The following is a 22,963-nucleotide window of genomic DNA, read 5'->3' as shown; positions in this document are numbered from 1 at the left end:
ATGGGTGCAACCCCAGTCCCAGCCCATGGTCAGGCCTCCTGGGCAGTGTCTAGAAGCTCCGAGAAAGGGAGCGTCTTCCAGGCCAAGAGAAGCAAGAACAAATGGAAATTCTATTTGAAAGATGATGTTATGTGTTTTGGAGGGAGAGACTATGTATTTGCAAAAGCCATTGGTGATGCAGAGTGGTAAATCTTGTGAGCTCAGTACATCAGTTTTGTAAACATCAGTCAGACTATATTGCATATCGTGAAACTCATTTTTATTTTAAATATAGTCCAGCACAGAGCTGCTTTAAAAAGGGGGTGGGTTGTTTTCTTCTTCTTTTTATGCTCTTTTCTTCTGAGGTGGCCATGGGTTTTCTTTTGACCCAAGGGATAGGTGAGGGTGACTATTGGGAAAAAAACTTTTCTTCTCCCATGTCTCTTTTCCCACTTCCCTGTCCTTGTCCTCCACTTTCTGTATACTTTTTCTTTCTCTCTCTTTCTGTTCCTTTTCTTCTGTTTTACTCTATTGATTATCCCTCTTGCTTTAATAGAATTTTAGCATGCCAAACCCCAAACCCCTAGAGACTTCTGATGCTAGGGCTAGCAAATCCAGATGCCTATGGCCCCAAGCAGACCTCATAAAGTTGTAAAGTGGTCAGGGCCTACTAGTGAGATTATATACTAGTGAGAAGTGCTACTGTGGACAACTGAATAGCATGTGTCCCCTGCCTAAATGCATCCAAATTTTATATTTTTAAATTTATTGCTGGCCAAATAAAACACATTTAGGACCTGGTGTGGTCTGTGGGCCCCCAGTTTGAGACCCAATCGAAGTGGTCCCCTTCCTTACAGAGGATGAAATCGTGGACAGAGCAAGGAACATGATTGGCCCAGAGTCATGCAGGAGGTGGAGTCTCCCAGCTTCCGGGTTGTTGTCCTTTCCAGAAAACCTGAGCTTTCTCCACACCCTCCTTCTGTGCATTGGTTCATTCGCCTATTTATTTGTTATCCACTCCCAGCCCCTGGCACTGGGGCCCCAGACAAACCAGCCAGGACCTTTGCCCTTCCAGGACCCTCATTCTGTCTCTGGGAGGTCACATGATGCTATTCAGTGTGACAAGGGCCAAGGCAGGGTCATAGCTGTCTGCCTGGGATCCCCACCAGCAACAAGGAAACTTCCTGCCAGGCCTCAACCCAGGGCTTTCCAGGACCCCCTTCTCTTGGACCTTGGACTGTCACCTGGAAACCTCAGGTTCTTATGCCCGGCTTCTGGGTGGTGAGCCTAGGCAAATATCACCATCAAAACATCCACTCACCACTCCACCTTGAGGCATGCCGGAGACCAGTCTCGGTGTTTTGGTTAGCAAGACTGTCCCATCCCTTCCATTCTAGGTGCAGGACTGGAAAAATCTGCCCAGCTTACCCATGCTGTCTGGGCCCAGGCCTCTGACACCCAAAATTCCAACTGTAATGAAAATCACAATGTGTCCTCAGTATGGCAGAAGCATGACCTGAGCCCAGGCTAGAAGGCCAATTCACCAGGTCTTTATTTCTCAAACCACTAGGTCTCCATGCTTTGAGGGGCTCTCTCCCCTGCAAGCCCCAGGTACTTAGAAAAGGCACATTCTCACTCACTAACTCACTTACTCACTCAGACATTCATTCAACAAACATCTGCCAAGTGCCCCCTGTGTCCTGGGCCTGGAAATGGATGAGATCCAGACTCTGTCTCAAGCACCCACTGTCCTGGGGGAGATGGCAGTCACCACCACTCTTTCTTGGGGTCCTGATGAGAAGACCAGGGCCTGGGGCCTTCTTTTAAGCTTCCCTTCTTCTAACTTCATCTCAGACAGTCCCCCAACAACCTTCAAATTCTCATTTCTTTACCTCTCACCACAGCCCCTCAAGGAACACTGGGCTTCTTTTAGCCCCATCTTACAGATGAGGACGCTGAGGTCCAGAAGGAAGAAATGATCCACTCAAGTTGCAGAGGTGGGAGGTAAAGCTGGATAAGGTCCCAGTTTCTCCAGATATCCTTGGAGAAGAAAGCAGGGAGTTCTGGAAGGAAGAGATGTGGAACTTTGGGACACAGGTACATCCTCATCTCTATTTTAAAAAGCCATAACCTTGAGACAATGATACAGGTCCAGAGGGAAGACCTATATTCTATTGTCCAAGCCTCGAGGGCAGTCAAGCATTTCAGGAGACAATTGGTTACAGTCATAATAATCCCAAATGCTAACTGAATACTTATCATTACTTAGTATTTAGTAAGAAAGCAATACTGAGTTCTAAGGGATTTGCATTCAATCTTGATAACAACCACATGGATATCGGCATGACTTTAACCCTACTTTGCAACAAGGAAACTGAGGTACTGAAAGGTCACCTTGCACAGCTAGGAAGGGGAGGAGCATGACTGAGGCAGGGAATGAGGCTTCCAAGACCAATTCTCCTAACCACTCAAGCACATGGTTTGGCAGAGTGTGCCTTCCCATTTTGAAAGAGTGTTGATTTATAAGGAAAAGAGAGAAGTTGTAGATTGGTAATTGCCAAGCAAATGTATGGGAAGCCATTCAAATAGATGTCAGCATGAAAACCCAAGAAGATAGATTTATTCTGCTGCTGCAGGACAGGAGGGCTGAGCCTTGGGTGATGACCAGCTGTCATTTGGAGAGAACTTCTTCAGAGGGAAGCAACTGAGAAACAGATCCACACAACTGAGTGAAGGAGGGCTCTTTTGGCAAACATCAAAAACAAGCTCTAGAAGCTTCCACAGTCTCTCCCTATTTATGCCCCACGTCGTGTCCAATCTGCCCTCTCCAAGCCTCATGTTAGAGACGCACTTCTTTGGTTAAAGTGCTGTTGCCTGTTAACATGCATTACCCCCCAGAACAGGTAACCTGTTAAACCTTTGTCAGTTACACAAGTTATTCACTGCTAAACTACAAATTACCAGGAAGGTAGTGGCTTAAAGCAACATACGTTTATTATCCCACCGTTTCTGTGGGTGAGGAATCTGGCTCAGCTTAGCTGTGGCACATCTCTGCCACAGGGTCTCTCACAAGGCTGCAGTCCAGGTGTCATCCAGGGCTGGGGTCTCATCTGAAAGTTCATCTGGGAGGGATCTGCTTCCAAACTCAGAAGATGGTAGGAATCCTTGAGTTGTTGGGTTACCACCCCTTTGTAACAAAAGAAGTGAGGCTCCAAGGATGGACTGTCTGCCCCAACTCCCCAAGCACATCTCCAAACCCCACTGCCAGGTAGTGAGTTGATCCTTCTGAAGATGCAACATCAGTGTCCCAAGACTGTGGATTATTGGCTGAGAGCTTCTGTTTCCTGCTGGCTCTTATGCAGAAACCAACTTCAGCTCCTTTCCACGTGGGCTTCTCCAACATGAACACTTGCTTCACCTAAAATGTGCAAGCTGAGAAGGCAATAGAGAGACTCTGCTGGCAAGTCAGAAGCTTCAGTGATAGCTTGTAATCTAATCATGAAGGTGACAGCCCCTCAACATTGAGGTTTTCTGTTGCTCAGAAGCAAATTACTCCAGGGGACAGGATTACATGAGTCTGTAAATTTCAGGAGGTGGAGATCACTGGGGTCATCTTAAGAGATATTTACCACATACGTCATCATTATATTAGTATAAATTAGTTCATCAGCTTGTTACAGCAAAATGGTTAGGTGACAGCAAGGGGATTTTTGACAAAAGGATGAAGGAAGAACAATTCTGGAATCTGGGGTTGGCCTTAGCAGGGTGGGCCTGGCGAGCAAGCTCTGAACTAACAATAAACCAAATGTGTATTTCCCTGGACCTCACATCCCTATTAATAGGCAGGTGGAGGCAGAGAGAAATGGACCAGTCTCTCTGGTTTTTCTCCACTCATCGCTATACCATGGCTTTGGCACTAGTTGAGAACTGAATACCCCATGGTGACGAGATTGGCACTGTGCTTGCATTGTCGTTGTCACCAGAGCATCCTGTCCCTCCATGCCCTAAAGGACATCCAACTCTAGCTGCCTGTATATTTTACCTCCAAAGCCCGTGCCACAATATTGAGTTGTTCCCGGGGATCTGCTGCTAAAATCCTGGGCTCACCATGGTGGGGATTAGCCTGGTCACTTACATTTTGGATGTTGCAGTTCCTTGAACTTTGAAAGCCACAGCATTCTCCTTAGAGAGATTATATAAAGGAACACCTACTTTATTAAAAGACCTCTGACAAAGACACATCATTATCCAAGAATGGTTTAACTAAGGCTTAATAAAGACAACAATGAGAAGATATTAACTCATTTAGCTTATATTTGGGAAGATGACACACCTTAGATGTAGAGCTTTCTTTCAGCATCAGTGATGGATTAAATCTGTTTGCACTGGAAAGTGGCTAATGTGCTGATGCTCAGAAATCTTGTGCTAATGCCAAGACATTGACCCTGTCTAAATGCATAAACCACCTCCCCACCCACAAAGCTCACCACCACCCACGCCAGACCCTTCAGAGGCTGAGGCATGTTGCACACAGAGCTAGGAGTCTGTTTCATTTCCCTTACATTGCAACTTACCATTCTCGTCCATTTATTTTAAGCAAATTATTCAGCCAAGTTGACAAGCATGAAAAAAACATGACCTACCCTGGGCTTTTCAAAAGAGATTTTCTCCCAAATGTGATTCATTATGCTCTGATCTCTCACTGTATTTTTGTCAAATGTTCCATGCCAGCTCTTAAAAGGACACTGTCAACTCCACTGGTTATGGCTGATTTCTTTAACTCTGTTGTCAAATGAATCCCTTACCAACCTGGAACAGAAAATTCCACCTTCCAAAAGCTCCAAGAGATACCCAAATGAGCCTCTGGGAGTCTAGAGACAGATCACAAAGACTTTTAATGACTAATATGTACCAAGTAACCATGATATGCCAGTCCCATTCTAGGTACAATCAGCACTAACAATGGAAAGGGCGTATACAGTCCCTGATCTTGTGAAGGTTACATTCTAGAAGGAAAGAAAGACTGTAAACAAATAATTAGATAAATAAAATAACTGCCCAGGCACAGTGGCTCACGCTTATAATCCCAGCACTTTGGGAGGCCGAGGCAGGCAGATCACCTGAGGTCAGGAGATTGAGACCATCCTGGCCAACATGGTGAAAACTTGTCTCTACTAAAAATACAAAAATTAGCCTGGCGTGGTGGCACATGCCTGTAGTCCCAGCTACTCGGGAGGCTGAGGCAGGAGAATTGCTTGAACCCAGGAGGTGGAGGTTGCAGTGCACCAATATTGCGCCACTGCACTCCAGCCTGGCAACAGACCGAGACTCCAAACAAAAAAAAAAGCTTTGGACATTGATATGTGCTTTGAGGAAAATAAAACAGGGTGATGAAATAGAAAGTCTCGCCAAGGCGCACCATTTGAGCAGAGTCCTGAGGGAACAGGGGTGAGTCTAAGAAGGTTCTAAAACAGGAACATTCCAGTAAAGGACCAGTTGCTCTCCATCTCATATATTGAGGATGCCACCAATCAAGCTGGGTCAAGTTACTGCCTTCAGAGGTTGTGTGACAGGAAGAGCAGCTCTTCCCATGGCCACATAGGAATGGAACGATCTACAGAGGAGGATCCTGGGATATGACCTCTGTCTTCCCCACAGAAAGCATCAGGGGTATTATCACATACCCCAGAATCTAGCTCAGAGCTTAGCACAAAGTAGGTACTATAGCTAGATGAATAAGAAAATGAATGGTAAAGGGGAAAAGGGGGGAAAAGAAGAAATACAACTAGCTAGCCAAAAGGTCATATAACTGATCCTTAGTATGCAGGGCCAACTGGGTAGGGCACACCTTTCTTCTTGATAATTATTAACTACCGTTCATTTTGCATTTATCATGCTCAATGCATTCATTGAGCTCTTTGGTCAGCAATCTATATGTACTATGTATTTTAATTCTTGCAAAACTTTTTGAGGGAAGTAGTATTTCCTGTCACACACAAAGATATTCAATCATGCTGATTCACCACACTAACCCATCTCACTTGTAAGTGGGCATGGGAAATTATGGAGGATAAAAGTTGAGGCATTTCATGACAATTCCGTATTCCACCTAGACTATGATTCCATCACATTAGTGGAGAAGTCTTAGGAGAAATTGCTTCGAATGGCCTCACCATGTTCTTAGTCCCAGGTTGGTGACTCCGTGGCTTTCCCAGTTTTCTTCCACTTCATTTTTTTATCCATTCATTCAAATATATTTATTGAGCACCTATTATACACCAGACATTATACTGGAGATACACAGGTAAACAAATCAGATTAAGGATTCTAGAACCACTGTCCTCCTCCCACCAAAAAGCAATCCTTGGCACAAGAACAAGAACAAAGCAGAGAGACTGGCAAATGATAATTCATGTCTGTTTCCTACTCTCCTCCTACATCCACAGCCCAGACATCTCTAAAAAAAAATATGGGCACTTGGCTGGGCGCGGTGGCTCATGCCTGTAATCCCAGCACTTTGGGAGGCCAAGGCAGGCAGATCACGAAGTCAGGAGATCGAGACCATCCTGGCTAACATGGTGAAACCCTGTGTCTACTAAAAATACAAAAAATTAGTCGGGCGTGGTGGCAGGTGCCTGAAGTCCCAGCTGCTCGGGAGGCTGAGGCAGGAGAATGGCATGAACCCGGGAGGCAGAGCTTGCAGTGAGCCGAGATCACGCCACTGCACTCCAGCCTGGGCAACAGAGCAAGACTCTGTCTCAAAAAAAAAAAAAATGTATATATATATATATATATATGCACTCTTTCAACCAGCTGAACATGGCAGGGAGACAGGTGGGTAAGAAGGGGCCAGAAGAAGCACTGAGCACAAATCCAACAAGACAAAAAGCAAAATCTTAACTGGGGCCAGGACTGGCCTCTTTGTCCACAAGAGGTAAGATGCAACAGCAGCTAATCTCCTCTGTGGCAAAACTTGGTGGCTGGATTCTCCAGCTGGCTTTCAAAATAATTCAGATTCAAAACAACACCCTCCCCTTGTCTGCACTGCCAGCCTGAGGCATCCCTCTGTTTCATCTTCCATTCACTTTCAGTCCCAACCCATTTCCAGGGCCACCCATGAGCCTTCTCTCTCCCAACTGTGTCTTCTCCATGTTGCCATTGGATTTCTCTCCCAATTCCCTTTTGGACTGCAATGACAAAAATAGAAAGGCTTCTTCCTCGATAGAGCAGCAGAAAAAAAAATTTTTGTCTACCTGAGAAAAAGAGCTTTCTTGGAAGGAGAGATAGAGGGTGCAGGAATGGGACAAAATAGCCAGAAACTTTCTCTGCAGGCACCTCTCCACCTCTTGGGTGAGCTTGTTCTTCATCGTGGCCAGGTAAATTGCCCCATTTTCTGCCAAGAAGAAGGCACAGAGTATGTAGTTGTTGCACTAGTGTGTGTCCCCTCATGAAGGACCTCATACCTGTCTCTGGGAAAGAAGACTGCCTCTCTCCAGTTGCTTCCATCAATTTTCATGCTGTCTCAACTCCCCTGGTCTTTAAACCTCAAACAATTCCAATACCCTCTTTCTATATATTTCCTGCACTTTTGAGCACCTCATCCTAATAATCTGTCATCACCACCTATTAGCTGAGTGATCTTGGGTGAGTTACTAAACACTTCTGGGTGTCATTTATTTGTCTATGCAATGGAAATAATAATACTTCACTCCAGTTATTGAGAGTGGGTTCAGATCTCTTTGCACAATTCCTGGCACCTTGGAGTCATAAAGCTGGTGGTTCTCAACTCTCAGTGTGCATGAGAATTATCTAGGGAGTGTTTAAAAATATTGATGCTTGAGCCCCAGCTCAGACTCATGAAATTGGAATCTCTAGGAGTGGGAGTGTGGGCATCAGTATTTTTTAGGCTTCCAAGGTGATACTAATTTGCGGCTAGAAAAGACAGCAGCTTCACTAAATAAAGGCAGCTATTATGGTTGTTGCTGTTGCTATTTCAACACACATTGTCCAGATGCAAACTCAAAGGTATGTGGAACTTCTAGGAATAAAGACCTGCTCGAATCAAATTGGTAGAGTGTTTGTGATTCTCAGCCAAGCCCCTCTCTCATCTTTCAGAAAGAACTAAATGAACCACAGGAGGCCATAGCCTATGGCACATTGTCTTAGGTAAAAGGCACCTAATCAAAAATTTCAGGGATAATTGGCAAATTGGCTCTTCATAAGAAGGAGGTAATCTGAATTAAGCACCATGAGTTAGTGGAAGAGATGCCTGTGGCTGTGGCTCTCGGCTCCTGCCATATCTGCATAAATGAATCCATCCCAGGGATACTCATCTCTTCCCCACGTGACCCTGCAAGCAAGTACCGCTCCACATCCAAGTTCAGCAGGTGAAGGCATTGAGAGGAGAGCCCATTTGGCAAATTTGAATTCCAAAGCCATAGCCACTTGATCTGGAGTGATGGGAGTGAGAAACTTGGAGCCCACACAAATCCAGGCAGGCAACGTGGAAGTGAATCCCGGGAAACAAAACAGGCTCATGTTCGATTTGTGATCTGATTGAAACAAGCTGCCCATCTTGTAACATTGCTGCCTTATGGTAGGATTTATGACATCAATGTTTGCAAAGGCAATCTCAAAAAAAAATAAAATAAGAGGAAAGGAGATTTTAAAAAGGAACAATCTCCTTTCTCTGTGTTCCTTTACCTCTGAATTGGAGTTAAAGCCCTCATTATTTCATTAGCTGGTCTCATTCCCTCGATGGCAACTGGGTTCATGAGCATTTGATTTAAGCTGCAATTAAAGCCCCAATCATAGAAATACATTTTCAGAAGATAATTGGGTGCATCATGCCAGCTTGTTGGCCTGTTAGGCGGCTCTAATTGTTGGCCAGTAAATTAAAAGCAAGTGTAAGTAAATAGTTCATCCAGAGACACATGAAAGAGAAAAAAGTTGTGTTCCTATTGATCAAGGACTCTGCCCTCTGCCCTAAATAGGGAGCTTGCCTGTGCTCAGGATCACAAATCCATCACTCTGGGGTAGAAGATGTATAAAGTAGCAGAGCATTTTAATTGCTTTGCATACATTAGAATAAAGATATCTTCAGAGAATGTTTTTTATCTTGCTTTTTTCCTTCCATACCCTGCTTCGTTCTTTCCTTTTTCTTTTAGTGAAGCCCCCAAAATGAGCCATGAGATCTTTATTTCTTATCTTTCCTCCATACTCTCATAATGGTACCTCCCATAGTAATAGCTTGAGCTGAAGAAAGCTTTTACATTACTTTTTCTCCTGGAAGGCTGGCAGAGTGGTCAAAAGACAGACTAAGTTGCCTCTGCAAGCTGAGTTCCCCTTCACTGGGGGAGAGAGGGTAGATAGTGCCTTGAGTAGTAGAAGAGATTTCAGACATTGAATAGGGGAGGTTACAATATATATCAGAAGAGGCTGACTGATTTTTACCATTCTTCTAGCAAATTGCACCCCACTTTTCTTTTCAGAAAGCTCCCCTGTCTCCTCCCAGCTTATATAGATTGGGAGATATAGTAGATCCTACTAACGTTTGCAAGTATCAACCCACATTTGTCTCTAAGGAAGGAGTGTACTTCTCAATGCCTATGATACCATCTTAGCTATGTGGCTGACTTTGGCCAGTAGAATCTGAGTGGTCATGACATAGAACACATCTCAGCAGAAGCTTACAATTTATTGTGTGAGACATCTCCATTTCATGTTCTTCCCGTCTGCCTCAGTAGTGATCTTATTGCCCTTTAGGGCTGTTCGTGCAGCCTGAGTGAGAAGACACATGATGAGGAGACTGGCAGAGCCTGGCAGAGCCAAACAGAGCCACAGCAGCTGCAGCCAACCCACAGCCATCAACATTTAACAAGAGAGGGAAATGCAGAGTCGAGCCAGCAAGAAGTGGTGCATGGTCTGGGGCTCTGGGAGAGAAGGCGGCAACTGTCCCCTTAGGGTGTGAAGCTGGAATTGAGGAATATGAACCTGCTGCCCCTTACTTGCCTTCACATAGGTTGAAAATAAGGCCCAAATGTGGAGGAAAACCAGCCTGAGATACAGGGAAATCAGGCCTTGTGGCATCTCTTGAGCTTCAACCAAACCCTGTTGAAAGCAGACTCTCCCCTGAATGTTTCTGTTATGAGGCCCAGTTTCTTCTTTTGCTCATGTCTGTTTGCATCCAGTTTTCCATCACTGCAACCTTAAGAATTTTCCCTGAAACAGATTCCAAACCTGAGGTCTCACTCTCTCAACCTCCCCCATCATCCCCTCAAGAGAGGAAGGAGCCCAAGGCCTCAGGAGCAGTGGCACCAATGTTCAGACAGAAAAAAAAAAAATCCTGAGGATGCAGGAACTTAGAAAGCCATAGGATTAGCCCTGCCTTGCTGTTATCCAAGGCAGAAATTTGAAGGATGGATCCCAGAAGACTCAGCTGGAGATAAAAACTCTTGTAAAAGCCCAAAGGGGATTTGATGTTTCACCTGTAGCCTTGGAGCCACAAACCGAAGCCTTCTTCCCAGTGCAAATCATCAATCATCATAGCAAAGAGCATTGGACATTAAGAGACTTGGCTCAGCCTGTTCTAGAGTTTTATTTCTAAAAGCATCAATGACAATTTGATTTACATGATTAATTTCTTCACCAATAGCCATTTCTTCCTGATTTAAGTCAGAAACTAAATAATACAAACTGACTAAAATATGATTGCAGAATCAATAAAACATCCCCAACAGATAATTATAGCATTAATGCACTTATTCTCCAGTTGGTATATCAATCATAATTAATGGGGATGAGTTGAAATGGTTTTAATCAAAGCCATTTGAATTCTGTTGCCCTGAGTCATAGAATACTGTAGCATAAGAGCCCTAAAACTAAGAGGTTAGGGGTTCTTCAGATGGGGTTTGCTGGAATCCCAGGGGTCTTTAGAAGTGCTTCTTGGGCCACTATAGGAAGTAGTGGGAGGAGAGAAAGCTCAATAGTCAGAGGCTCCACGATCCCCAGTCTCGCTTTAAACAAAACGTTCTTTGAATATTTATTTATTTGAAAAATGTTTTTGGCTACCATAGTCATAAGAAGAAGAGGAGAAAGAAGGGAACAAATAAGAAAGGAACAGAGAAGGAAGAGAAGGAGTTTAAAAGACACTAATCTAGTCCAACCTCCTTATTTTTCAAATGGGGAAACTGAGGCTCAGAAAGTGGGAGAGATTAGTTCAGGGTCACACAGATGCGGAACAACAGAGCCTTGATGGAAATCCACATGCTCTAACTCCAAGCTAATGTGTTCCTAACTCCAAGCTTACACATTTTAGTTTTTAGGGACAATCGATTCATTCTATGGTGGAAAGGATTTGGGAGAAGATTGCCCTGAAGACATCATCAGGAAGGACTCCTGCCCCTGGTCCCTAGTTCTTACTAGTTATACAGGCCATGCCTTATCCTTGGCCCAAGATTCCAGCCAAATTATTCCATTTGAGATCTTTCCCACGTGATCTAGTGTCCATGCCCAACAATTCTTGGTGGGGACAGCTCTAGCTTGAATTGGTGACTCATTTTGCCATAACCCATGTCTTCAGTCACTGATGTACCACTTATTATGCATGAAACTTTGTACTGAACACTCAAAAATTGCAGAAAAATAAAAGACAGTAGCCACACCCTTAGAGTCTAGAAAAGAAGGAGACATCCATAGGCCAAGATCACAATACAGGGTTCAATTTGCATTTGTTACCTGTTAAACTATAAGCTCTACAAAGCAGAGTGGCTTCCATTATTCACTGCTATATCTCCAATGCCTTGTATAGCACTGGACACATATAGACTGGGCACATGTAGCATATAGATGCTCAATAACCATTTTTTGGATACTTTAAAATAACAATAATAAAAGTTGACACTTAGCATGTACCAGGCCTTCTTGGATATTAATGTGTAACTAAATATTCAACCTTCGCCACAGCCTACAAAGTAATTATATTATTATAATCCATTTGACAGCCAGCGAAGGCACAGAGGAGTTAAGTATATTGTCCAGGGCGATATAGCCAGTCAGTAATGAAACTGGTGTCTGATCCTAAGTCATGTCCTTCCTAGGGCTTCACCCTTAACCACACTCTTAATACCTCCCAAAGTGTCATGGAATCCAGAGGCTTTCTATAAAGAGATGAAGGAAGACCTCATGGAGGAGATAGAAACTAATCAATGCCTTAACACATTGATAGAAGCTGGACTTAAAGAGGTAGAGAGGGAAGTCACAGCAAGAGGAAACAGACCAAGTAGAGGCATCGTGGAGGGAAGGAATGGGCAAGTTCAGTGTGGCTGCAGCATGTTCTATACAAAGGAAGCATAGAGAAATGTGACCGGAGAGAAGGACCAGGGCCAGGTGCACAGGGGCAGTGGAGAGCCATTGAAAGTGACACCATCAGAGCTCCGTTTTGGACAGGCTTTTTATCAGGCCTTAGAAGTCAGACAGTGGGGTGGCAGAGAAAGATAGCAAACTTAAGGGCCAAGTCCAGGCCTTCTTGACAAGTGCATCAAAGTTGGATGCAGGACCCAGATCCTGGACATTCACCATAGGCTGATGCCATTACTTGAGCAAGTGGTTTGGTCAATTTCACTCCACTGATGCAGCCTGATGCTCTTCACTTAAGAGTTACCTTAGATCCAGCTATGACAGCAATGCATCTGGTGGCTGGATTTCTACCCTCACATAGAAAACAGCTTCTGCCTGCCATAGCCATGAAGCCAAATGCTGATTCTATTGACAATACCTCTGGCCCCAAAGGGTTCACATTTTTAGGTCCAGATATAAACATGCATTCAGATACCTGTCTCCTTTGAAAATCCCCTCAATTGAAAACCCATAAATTCTTTATATTCCTAGAATCCTACTGGAGAAAGCATATAGCCTAGATTTAGCAAACACATCGAGGTCACACATACTATAAAAATAATCTTTGACTTTGTGCAAAAGTGTCATGCCAATCAATGTTAAAGTAATTGGTAATTATGCCTATTATTTCAGAGACCTAAAATCCAAGACTGTGTTTTGTATTCTTGGCCCCAACATTGACCCCATTGCCCTTGACTTTATTTGAGAGTGTGTCAGACCACACCCAGGTGTGCCAAGGGCCTGGCAGTGTTGCAGTAAACTTGAACTAGTGCAGCACTGGGGAAAGTGTTTAGGAATGAGAAAATGGAGATGGAACAAAGACCTCTTTGAAATGCCTAGCTATCCAGAAGACAGGAGAAAATCACAATGTTAAAGAATGTGAACTTCAGATGAACTCCACTGGGCAGCTGTAGATCTGCTGTGATTACCGAGGCTTTGCAACGCCCTTCTGTTCGTTGATTGCATTGTGGGCCTTGCTTCTTCTCGTCCTAGTACTGATAACTTTAGCTATGTGACTTCATGGTTCTTCCCATTAAGAAGTGAGGTCTGCTTCTTCATCCCTGAAATCTGGGCTGGACTTTTAACTAGGGTTGGGTCCAGGATGAGGCAATCAAGACTCCTGGGGCTCAAAATTTTAAGGAGGTGCTTGCTGCTCACATGCAGGGTCACACAAGGTCAACATCCGAAAGAGAGTGCCTCCTTAACATGTGTGCCCTAGGTGTCTTGCTTCCCTCAGCCTAATCCCAGTCCTGCTCGTGACTTGCTTTGGACAACAGACCATGGCAGAAGTGACATCGTGCCAGTTCCGAGCCTTGGCCTCCACATGCAATGCATGCTTCCACTTTTATTCTTGGTGACTTCCATTGCCTGAGCTAGCCTGCTGCAGGATAAGAGGGCTTGTGGAGGAGAGACACATTGTCCCAGCTGAGCCACCTCCCACCTGACCCCCCAACTGACCACAGACACATAAATAAGTCCAGCTTAGAGCAGCCCAGCTGAGCCCAGAGCAGCAGAACTGCCCCTCAACCCACAGACTTGTGAGAGATAATAAATGGTTATGGTTTTTAAATGTTTGGGGAGTGGTTTGCTATGGAGCAGTAGATGACTAATATACTTTCTATCTTAGTCCATTTTTGCTGCTATAACAAAATACCACATCCTGGGTAATTTATAAATAAGGGAAATTTATTTCTCATAGTTATGGAGGCTGGGAAGTCTAAGATCAAGGCACCAGTAGATTCAGTGTCTGGTGAGGGCTGCTTTCTGCTTCCAGGATGGCATTTTCTGGTTGTGTCTTCACATGGTGAAAGGGAGAAAGGGAGGAATGCTGTGTCCTCACATGGTAGAAGAGATGGAAGTGTAAAAAAGAGCCTGGCTGGTTCCCTTGAGCCCTTTTATAAGGGTATTAATCTCATTCACAAAGGCAGAGCCTTTATGTCTTAAATGCCTGTTAAAAGCCCCACCTCTTATTATTATTATTATTATTATTATTATTATTATTGTTATTATTATTAGGGACAGGATCTTGCTTTGTCACCCAGACTGGAGTGCAGTGGTGCAATCACAGCTCACTGCAGCCTCAAACTCCTGAGCTCAAACAATCTACTCACCTCAGTCTCCCAAGTAGCTGGGATTACAGATGCACGCCACCATGACTGGCTAATTTTTTTTTAATTTTGTAGAAACAGGGTCTCACTATGTTGCCTAGGCTGATCTCAAACTCCTGGCCCCAAGCAGCTCTCCTACCTCAGCCTCCCAAAATGCTGGGATTACAGGCACGAGCCACCATTCCCAGCCCTCCACTTCTTAATACTATCACATCAGGTCTTAGGTTTCAACAAGTGTATTTGCAGGTGACACAAACATTCAACCCAGCACTTCTCATGTTTCCTTTTCCACAACATAGGTAGCCACGTAAGGGGCCTATTAAATAATTATTAATAGGTAGATGACTCTGGATTCAGTGATATGAACTGACACAAGTTTAAAAGAGACTCAAGTTATGAGAACGTAAAATGAAGTCAGGAGTTCTTCTGGTTCTAATTCTACTAGTAATCTTAAACAAATCTTCCATCTCTGAGATTTGAGGCCTTTTTCTTAAAAATGAGTGGTTTGATCCACAGCAGAGGCAAGTGGGTTTCTTTAAGCATGCCAACTCCAGTTTACTGCAGATAGATATTTATTGGGAATAGCTGAAAGGTTCTGAGGCAAAACAGAAAAGAATGCTATTATCAATTAGTGATGTATGTCATGAGGAAGGGCAGGGAAGAAAGGGGAAGAGGGTGAGGTGGTGGAGCAGCACACACACCCCACAGTGGTCATAACCAGTGAAGATCCACTCTGAGGAAACTTCCAGCACTGAGAGTTTCTCATGTTCCTGTTTAGGGGGTTAATCCTGCCAGACTAAGTCAAACAATGAAGACCTGTGGCTACCATGGACAGCTTGTTATTTGCTGCCCTCTGCCCTTCAGCCCAAAACTAACAGTTTCCTTTCATTGTGAAAACAAGGACAAGAACACAATGCCTGGGGCACGTACCTGTGTTCCTGTCCTGGGTGGTGGACAGTGTATAGGCACTGGACAGCTTTTCACCCAGTGTGGCTTGCCCCCTACAGCTGCCAGATTGAGTTTTTTGTTGTTGTAGTTTTGGGGGTTTTTTTTTTGTTGTTGTTGTTTTTGTTTGTTTTTTTGTTTTTTTGAGGTGGAGTCTTGCTCTGTCACCCAGGCTGGAGTGCAGTGGCACCATCTCGGCTCACTGCAGCCTCCACCTCCCAGATTCAAGCGATTTTCCTGCATCAGCCTCCTGAGTAGTTGGGATTACAGGCACATGCAACCACGCCTGGCTAATTTTTGTATTTTTAGTAGAGATGGGGTTTCACCATGTTGGTCAGGCTGGTCTCAAACTTCTGACCTCAGGTGATCCACCCACCTCAGCCTCCTAAAGTGCTGGGATTACAGGAGTGAGCCACCGTGCCTGGCCTGAGTTGTCTCTTTAGAACTAGATGCTGTAGTACTAAGCAAAAAAACAACTCTAACTACAGGACATGCAAATTTAGGGGGTTCATTTTTACTATCTTTACAGAAATGTTCTCTCAAGAATCCCTCTTCTCTGTAAAGCACAGAACATTCATATGATCAAGGTCATAGGAAGGGCCTTTGTGGTGAGGGTCCTCTCTAGCATTGGCATCAACTTGAACCATCCTGCTGGCCACCCTCCACCCACCCACTTGCTTAGCTGAAAGATGGATCTCAACTTGCAGACTCAAGTCTTCAGATCTTAAGACTTACAACTTCCAGATACCCTCATTTACCAGAGAAGGTTAAAAATAGTTCTTTGCATATGGAAATCACTTCACAGCTTACAAATTGCTTTCACAACCTTAATTTCATTTGATCCTCAAAAGAGCCCTGTGATGAGAAAACTGAGGTCCAGACAGGTTAGGTGATAAGCATAGGGGCAAGCAGAAAGTAAGAGAGAGAGTTGGGACCAGAACATAGGTCTTCTCATTAAGCTCTTGTCCTCTTTTCTGCAGCATGAAACTGCCTTTTCTTATCACCACCACCTGCTGTGGCCATGGCCACTGCCAACAGCATCACCACGTCACTAGCTACTCCACCTCCCTAACAACCAGTGAGCCAGGTGGCCAGGGAGAAGACATTTTCCAGCTCCCCAAAACTTGGGTTTACTCATCTCCACCTCTCCTCAAGCCCTTCTGTTGTCCAAATCTACCAGCAGGAGCACTTCTAGCTAATTTTTTTCCCCACGTGGGAGGCAGTGTGAGCATCAAACTTCAAACCACACAGACATGAGCACAAACCCCAACTCTACCACTTCCTAAGAGGATGATGTGGGCAAGTTACTTAACTTCTCTGACCCTCAGCATTCTTAAGATTTCTTTAAGGAATAAACAAAATTATGCATCAATGAATAAAATAATGAGCATAAAGGGGCTCACCTGATTCATAGTGAGTTCAAAAAAAAAGGTGCTAGCAGTAGTCATAACTGAACAACAACAACAACAACAACAACAGTGATAGTAATGCCTGGATGCTAAGCCAAATAAACAAGGGCAAATGTGGTACCTAAGGATCTTTCCCGTGATGCACGGCCACTCTTGAAAGATCTTTCTAATCATGGAAGGAATCAGAGAGCATGGCCAGCTGACATCCCCACATCCCATTCATCAGCCCTAACAAGAGCTCTACATTTACACAATTTATTGGATGTAGCATGCAGAAAATACATTGGGGGAGGAGGATTCGGTTGTATAATCAGGTGTGTGATTAGTCATGCTAATGACATTTATTATACTACAAGTAGAACTAATTTACAATAATTTAATCATCAACAAACAACTGTGCAGGAAGAAGAATCTGGGTTGTCAGATTTGCAAATAAGGGTTTTTGATGAACAGTTCCAGTGTGACCCTGAACTCGTGTAATTCTGGAGGGAAAGACTGGGCCTGAGTCTTAGTGTGTACAAGAATAATGACTAACATTTGCACAGCAACTCCAGAGTTTACAAAGTACCTACATGTATGGAGTCTCGTTTGATTCTTCAGACAACCTTCATGGTAATGCATTCTTTGAACTTGATATAGAATGACAAACTGAGGCTGAGAGGTGAGAAGGGATACAAGGCAGGACTCAAACTCAGGTCTCCAGATTCCAGACCTTGTGTCCTTCTACTATAAACCAGTGGTGCTCATTTGGAGGTGTGTGCCAGAGCACCTGTGAGGACTTACAAAAAAATAAATAAATACCTGGGTCCCAGTATATTTTTATTATGACCCAATAACTTGAGGATGAGGGAAGGGAATCCAATTCAGAAACGTGCTCTGAGTTGAAAACCACCAAACTTCAGGCTGAAAAGCAGGAAGACAGCCCAGGATGGTGTGAGGGCCTGGGTTAGAGTCTTCTGTACATACACTGGAAACTTGACTTTAGCCCTTGTCAGCTGTGTGACCCGAGTCAAGTTACTTAACCTCTCTGGGCCTGAGTTGCCTCATCTGCAAATGGGGATAATATCTACATTCAGTGCTCAGTGAGAAAATGTAACTGACACCCTAATAACAGAGTAAATAAATATTACTTTGGAGTTCCCCTTCATTCTCCTGGATAGCAGGTATTTGAAACAAGAACTCAAGATTGTGATAGACATTTTCTTTGTTACCCATAGCTACTGTTCTCCTGAATCAAAACCTATGGTAAATTTTTTAAATTTAATCTTAAAAAACAACTACAAAAAAAAAACACAAAACAAAACAGCCCATTCCCCAAGAACAGAGCACTTCATTTTCCTGCCAAAGATAGGCCACAGAGCACCCAGGCAGCTTTCTTAACACCCAGTTACTACAGCAGCCGCCCGGGCTACTTCCACTGTGCTGAAGGCACAGACTCCTCCCCAGACCATGAGAGGAGCTCAAATGCTAGCTTCATTTTTGCTACTGGAGAACAACAAAGGGGTCAAATAAAAGCCATTCTCCTTTTGCTAGGGAGTCCCCAGGAAAAGAAAACGAGTGATTCCCTTGCAGCTGAGATAAAGATATTCCAGAGCATTGAATACATTCCAAAGCTCTGGTCTGCTGGGGCTCAAGAAAGGACCTTTTGAATTCTCCTCAACCTTGATCTAACTCACTGACATTTCTCCTGGTCCTATTCTAGACTTTTCCCACCCCGGGTGATAACGCAGACACTCCTGTTGGTAGAAGTTGGAACAGCAGCCAGAAGCTGATGTGGCAAAGGCTCACAACAAAAAGACCCTGGCAGCAGCTGCTGCTCCAATACAATCCTAGGAGCTTTCCCTGTTTTTTAAGCAAAAAATTTCTGACCTCCCAATTCAATTCTCCTCTGTCTATAATCTCTGTCCAGACCACTTCTTTGGATGGAGGGAGGAGGTCTAAGAGAATCCGTCCAAGTACCCCAGGAGGTCATGACTCAGCCTTCTGGTGACCTCCCATCTCAGGTCACAAAGAATCTCATTACCAAATCTTAGGTGCTCTCAGTTGACTCTGGAGAAAAAAAAAATCTGGCTGTGGCCAGCCTTGGGAATGCTTCAGCTGTCAAAGTGGGAAGCTTAATGAGCTGGTGATGGAGAGAAAAATGCCCTATCTTTTTAAACCTAGGCTTGATCCTGGCTGCCTAATTGTGCCCAGCTGTTTCATGAATCCTTCCCAACCTGGTTTCAACTGTCCAGTGAGGGCTGACTGGCCACACAGGCCAGGCAAGAGGAAGGCCAATTACTGTTCAAATTGGATTTAGAGCTCAGCACAGGAAAACCCATGTCATCTGGCTGTGTGTCTACAGATGCGGGCCCTGAACCCAGGTGTCCATGCTGGAAGCATGCAGGCCACATCTGGCTCAGAAATATGCATTGCATTTAATTAAAAATTCTGTAGTATGGCCGGGCACAGTGGCTCACGCCTGTAATCCCAGCACTTTAGGAGGCTGAGGCGGGCGGATCACCTGAGGTCAGGAGTTCAAGACCAGCCTGACCAACATGGAGAAACCCCATCTCTACTAAAAACACAAAAAATTAGCTTGGCGTAGTGGCATGTGCCTGTAGTCCCAGCTACTCGGGAGGCTGAGGAAGGAGAATGGTGTGAACCTGGGAGGCGGAGCTTGCAGTGAGCTGAGATTGTGTCACTGCACTCCAGCCTTGGTGACAGAGCGAGACTCCATCTAAAAAAAAAAAAAGGAAAAAAGAAAAAGAAGATTATGTAGTTTTACCTACTTATATAATTCTGGGTAATTGCAAACATTTACTTCAGAAGACTGCACCTCAGAAACCTAGATTGCTGGTTTCTCTTACAAAACCAGAAGATCTAACCATACTAGGCCCATGTTCTGTGAGTGTCACAAACCAGCATAACTGAGTAGCCCTGCCCCTATGATTAATGTGTATGACTGCCACTTGACCATGGTCTCCACCACTCCCTATTGCCCCTTGACACTTGGGCCCTTGAAAACCTTTACGTGTGTAAGCTCCTATGACTGTTACCTAACATGGGCTTTTGGCTTTTTCACCTGCACAATGACAGAGTCAGCCAAGATGGACTCTGTGGTCCTTAAGAAGAGGCCCTACCTGATCACACGAGCCCTCTTGAGGGCAGCATACAGGACCCTCTGGGATGGTACCAGAGAATGAGTGGTGGTGAAGTAAATCACCAGGATGTTCACTCTGGAGGTGATAAGATGTCCATGCCCTGCTCTCTGGAAAGCCATCCTTGGAGTCCATCCATCACTGCCCACCGGCCTCCCTCGCAGGCCACTTGAGCCAGCCATTGCCGTCAACAACTCCAACTTGGAGAGGCTTTGGCACTTTGCAGCATTCACAGGAGCTGTTACTTTTTCATGTTCTGCCCTTTCTACAATTACTGCCATTCCCATCCCTTCCAATAACCAGGCTTAATGAAGGATGACCAAGAAGAAATATGGAGTGACTTGCAAGAGACAGGGGCTTTGAGATAAGCCAGCAGGTGCCTGCTCAGAGCTCACTGAGGCAAGAGTGCCCAGTCAGGACAAGGTGAGCTTCTGTCTGTCCCCAGTTGCACACCCCGTTTTGCCCCGCTCCACTCAGCCAACCTGCAGAGCATCCCGACGTTAAAAGATTACCAGGGCGAGTTTGTAACGAAGCCGCTCCCTCTTTGTCTGTCCTTGTGCCAACAGCAGCAGAAGGGATACTAATTAGAGGGTGAATTATTAGCTTCCCATGGTGCACTGCAGGGACATTAAAAATGAGGGGGCTTTGCTGCTTGCCTTTTAGATGGTTAGTCTTGATTTAATATATTAGTGTTTCTAGGTGAGCAGCAGGGGACAGTTTTTATGATTATAATTGTTGCATAATTACTGGCCTAAGGTTGCCTATTGCTAAATAAAAATGCTGAGATACTAATGTTTTATTGAACAGTACAAGGAGATAAAATTGTAATATCTTTTCCTGAGCAATTGAAGCTGCTCATTTGCAACCTGGTGACAACCCTTAGTCGTCTTATGGAAGAGGTGGATGGGTTCTGCCTGGGCTACAAGTCAAATGCAAAATATTTGCTTGGAAAAAAACAGGAGGATGAAAGGGAAAGGGATGCTGAGGAGCTCTTGGATGGGTACTCACAATCTCTGCATTTTGCAGGGAGCAGGAGCTGTCCAGACCTGGGATTAAAGAGCATGCACTCAACAGGAAGGGTAACTCTTAGCCAGCTGGTTCTTGGGCAGAAGAATGTCACAAATGGCCTTTCCCATGAAGAATGCCCATTCCTGCAAGAGAAACTGAAGGCACATAGAGGCAGAGATATGAGTCAGGGACACAGCCACCACTGGATGGCCCAAAGGGGATCAACATCCTTCCTTTGGGCAATCTTAACTTCTCAGTCCTTCCAGTCACTGAGAGACTATCTGGGACCAGCTATGCAATAAGTCTTTAATATTTCTCCAATTCACCTCTTCCTTTTTGCCCCCACCAACCCACCCTATGCCAGGCAGCCAGCGCCAACACCTCCTAACAATCTCCCTGTCTTTTTTAAAAATATATTTTTTAATTTCAATAATGTTTGGAGTACAGGTGGTTTTTGGGTAAATGGATATGTTCTTTTTTCTTTTTTTCTTTTTTCTTTTTTTTTTTCTTTTTTTTTTTTTTTTGAGGCAGAGTCTTGCTCTGTCACCCAGACTGGAGTACAAGAGGTGTGATCTCGGATCCCTGCAACCTCCACCTCCTGGGCTCAAGGATCCTCCCACCTCAGTCTCCCAAGTAGCTGGGACTACAGGCATGCACCACCATGCCCGGCTAATTTTTGTATTTTTTGTAGAGATGGGATTTTTCCATTTGCCCGGGCTGGTCTCGAACTTCTGAGCTCAAGCAATCCACCTACCTCTGCCTCCCAAAGTGCTGAGATTACAGGCATGAGCCACCTCGCCTGGCTGGATAAATTATTTAGTGATGATTTCTGGGATTTGAGTGCACTCATCACCAGAGCAGTATACACTGTACCCAATATGTAGTCTTTTATCCCTCAGCCTCCTCTCAGCTTCCCCACCCCGACTCCCCAAAATCCATTATATCATTCATATGCCTTTGCATCCTCATAGCTTAGCTCCCACTTATAAGTGAGAACATACAGTATTTGGTTTTTCATTCCTGAGTTACTTCACTTAGAATAATGGCCGCCGGCTCCATTCAAGTTGTTGCAAAAGACATTATTTCATTCATTTTATGGCTGAGTAGCATTTCATTGTGTACATATACCACATTTCCTTTATCCATTCATTGGTTGGGGGGTACTTAGGTCAGTTCTATATCTTTGCAATTGCAAATTATGCTGCTATAAACATGCGTGTGCATGTGTTTTTTTCATACAATGACTTATTTTCCTTTGGATAGATACCCAGTAGTGGGATTGCTGGATCAAATGGTAGTTCTACTTTTAGTTCTTTAAGGAATCTCCATACTGTTTTTCCTACTGGTTGTACTAATTTACATTTCCACCAGCAGTGTAAAACTGTCTCGTATCTATCTTTCATGTTCACTGAGATTTCTGCAGCCAGGCAGGGGATGATTCTTACCAGGAGCCAAAAGGTTGCAAATAAAATGCATTTGAGTTAGATCTGCTGCCTCACCGTAAAGAAGGATGGGAAATGCCACTTGATTTGGGCAAACAGTAAAGGCCTGATCAATTTGGTCTGACCCCTCAGGTGTTCCATCCTTCAGAGGGATGAAAGAAATAGATCACTGTTTTCACCGTTCATGCAGGTGTGGATGGCTAGGAAAACAGAGGAAGATAGCAGCAGGGCAAACCTGATTTCAGAAAGCCAATGAGTGGAGTGGCAGCTTCCTTCCCAGATGATCCTTGGGACCTTCTCTACTGGGTCCAGCCCAGTAGAAACTCCTCATTCTTGGCCAACACTTTCACAGCAGGCATAAACTAAAAACCAATTTTCCTTTCCATGGGTTTCCATATGGTTCATCTCAAGCAAGCATGAGTATTGTGGAAAGATCCCTGGGTGGGGAGTGAGGGAGCCCAAGTATTGTTCCTGGCTCAGCCATCCCTCTGCAACTGTAAGACAAGTCATTTCAGCCCTCTTCTTTGGAAGAGAAA

This window comes from Homo sapiens, chromosome 16 (assembly GCF_000001405.40).
Source record: "Homo sapiens chromosome 16, GRCh38.p14 Primary Assembly".
Taxonomy (NCBI): domain Eukaryota; kingdom Metazoa; phylum Chordata; class Mammalia; order Primates; family Hominidae; genus Homo; species Homo sapiens.
This window is presented reverse-complemented; position numbering follows the sequence as displayed.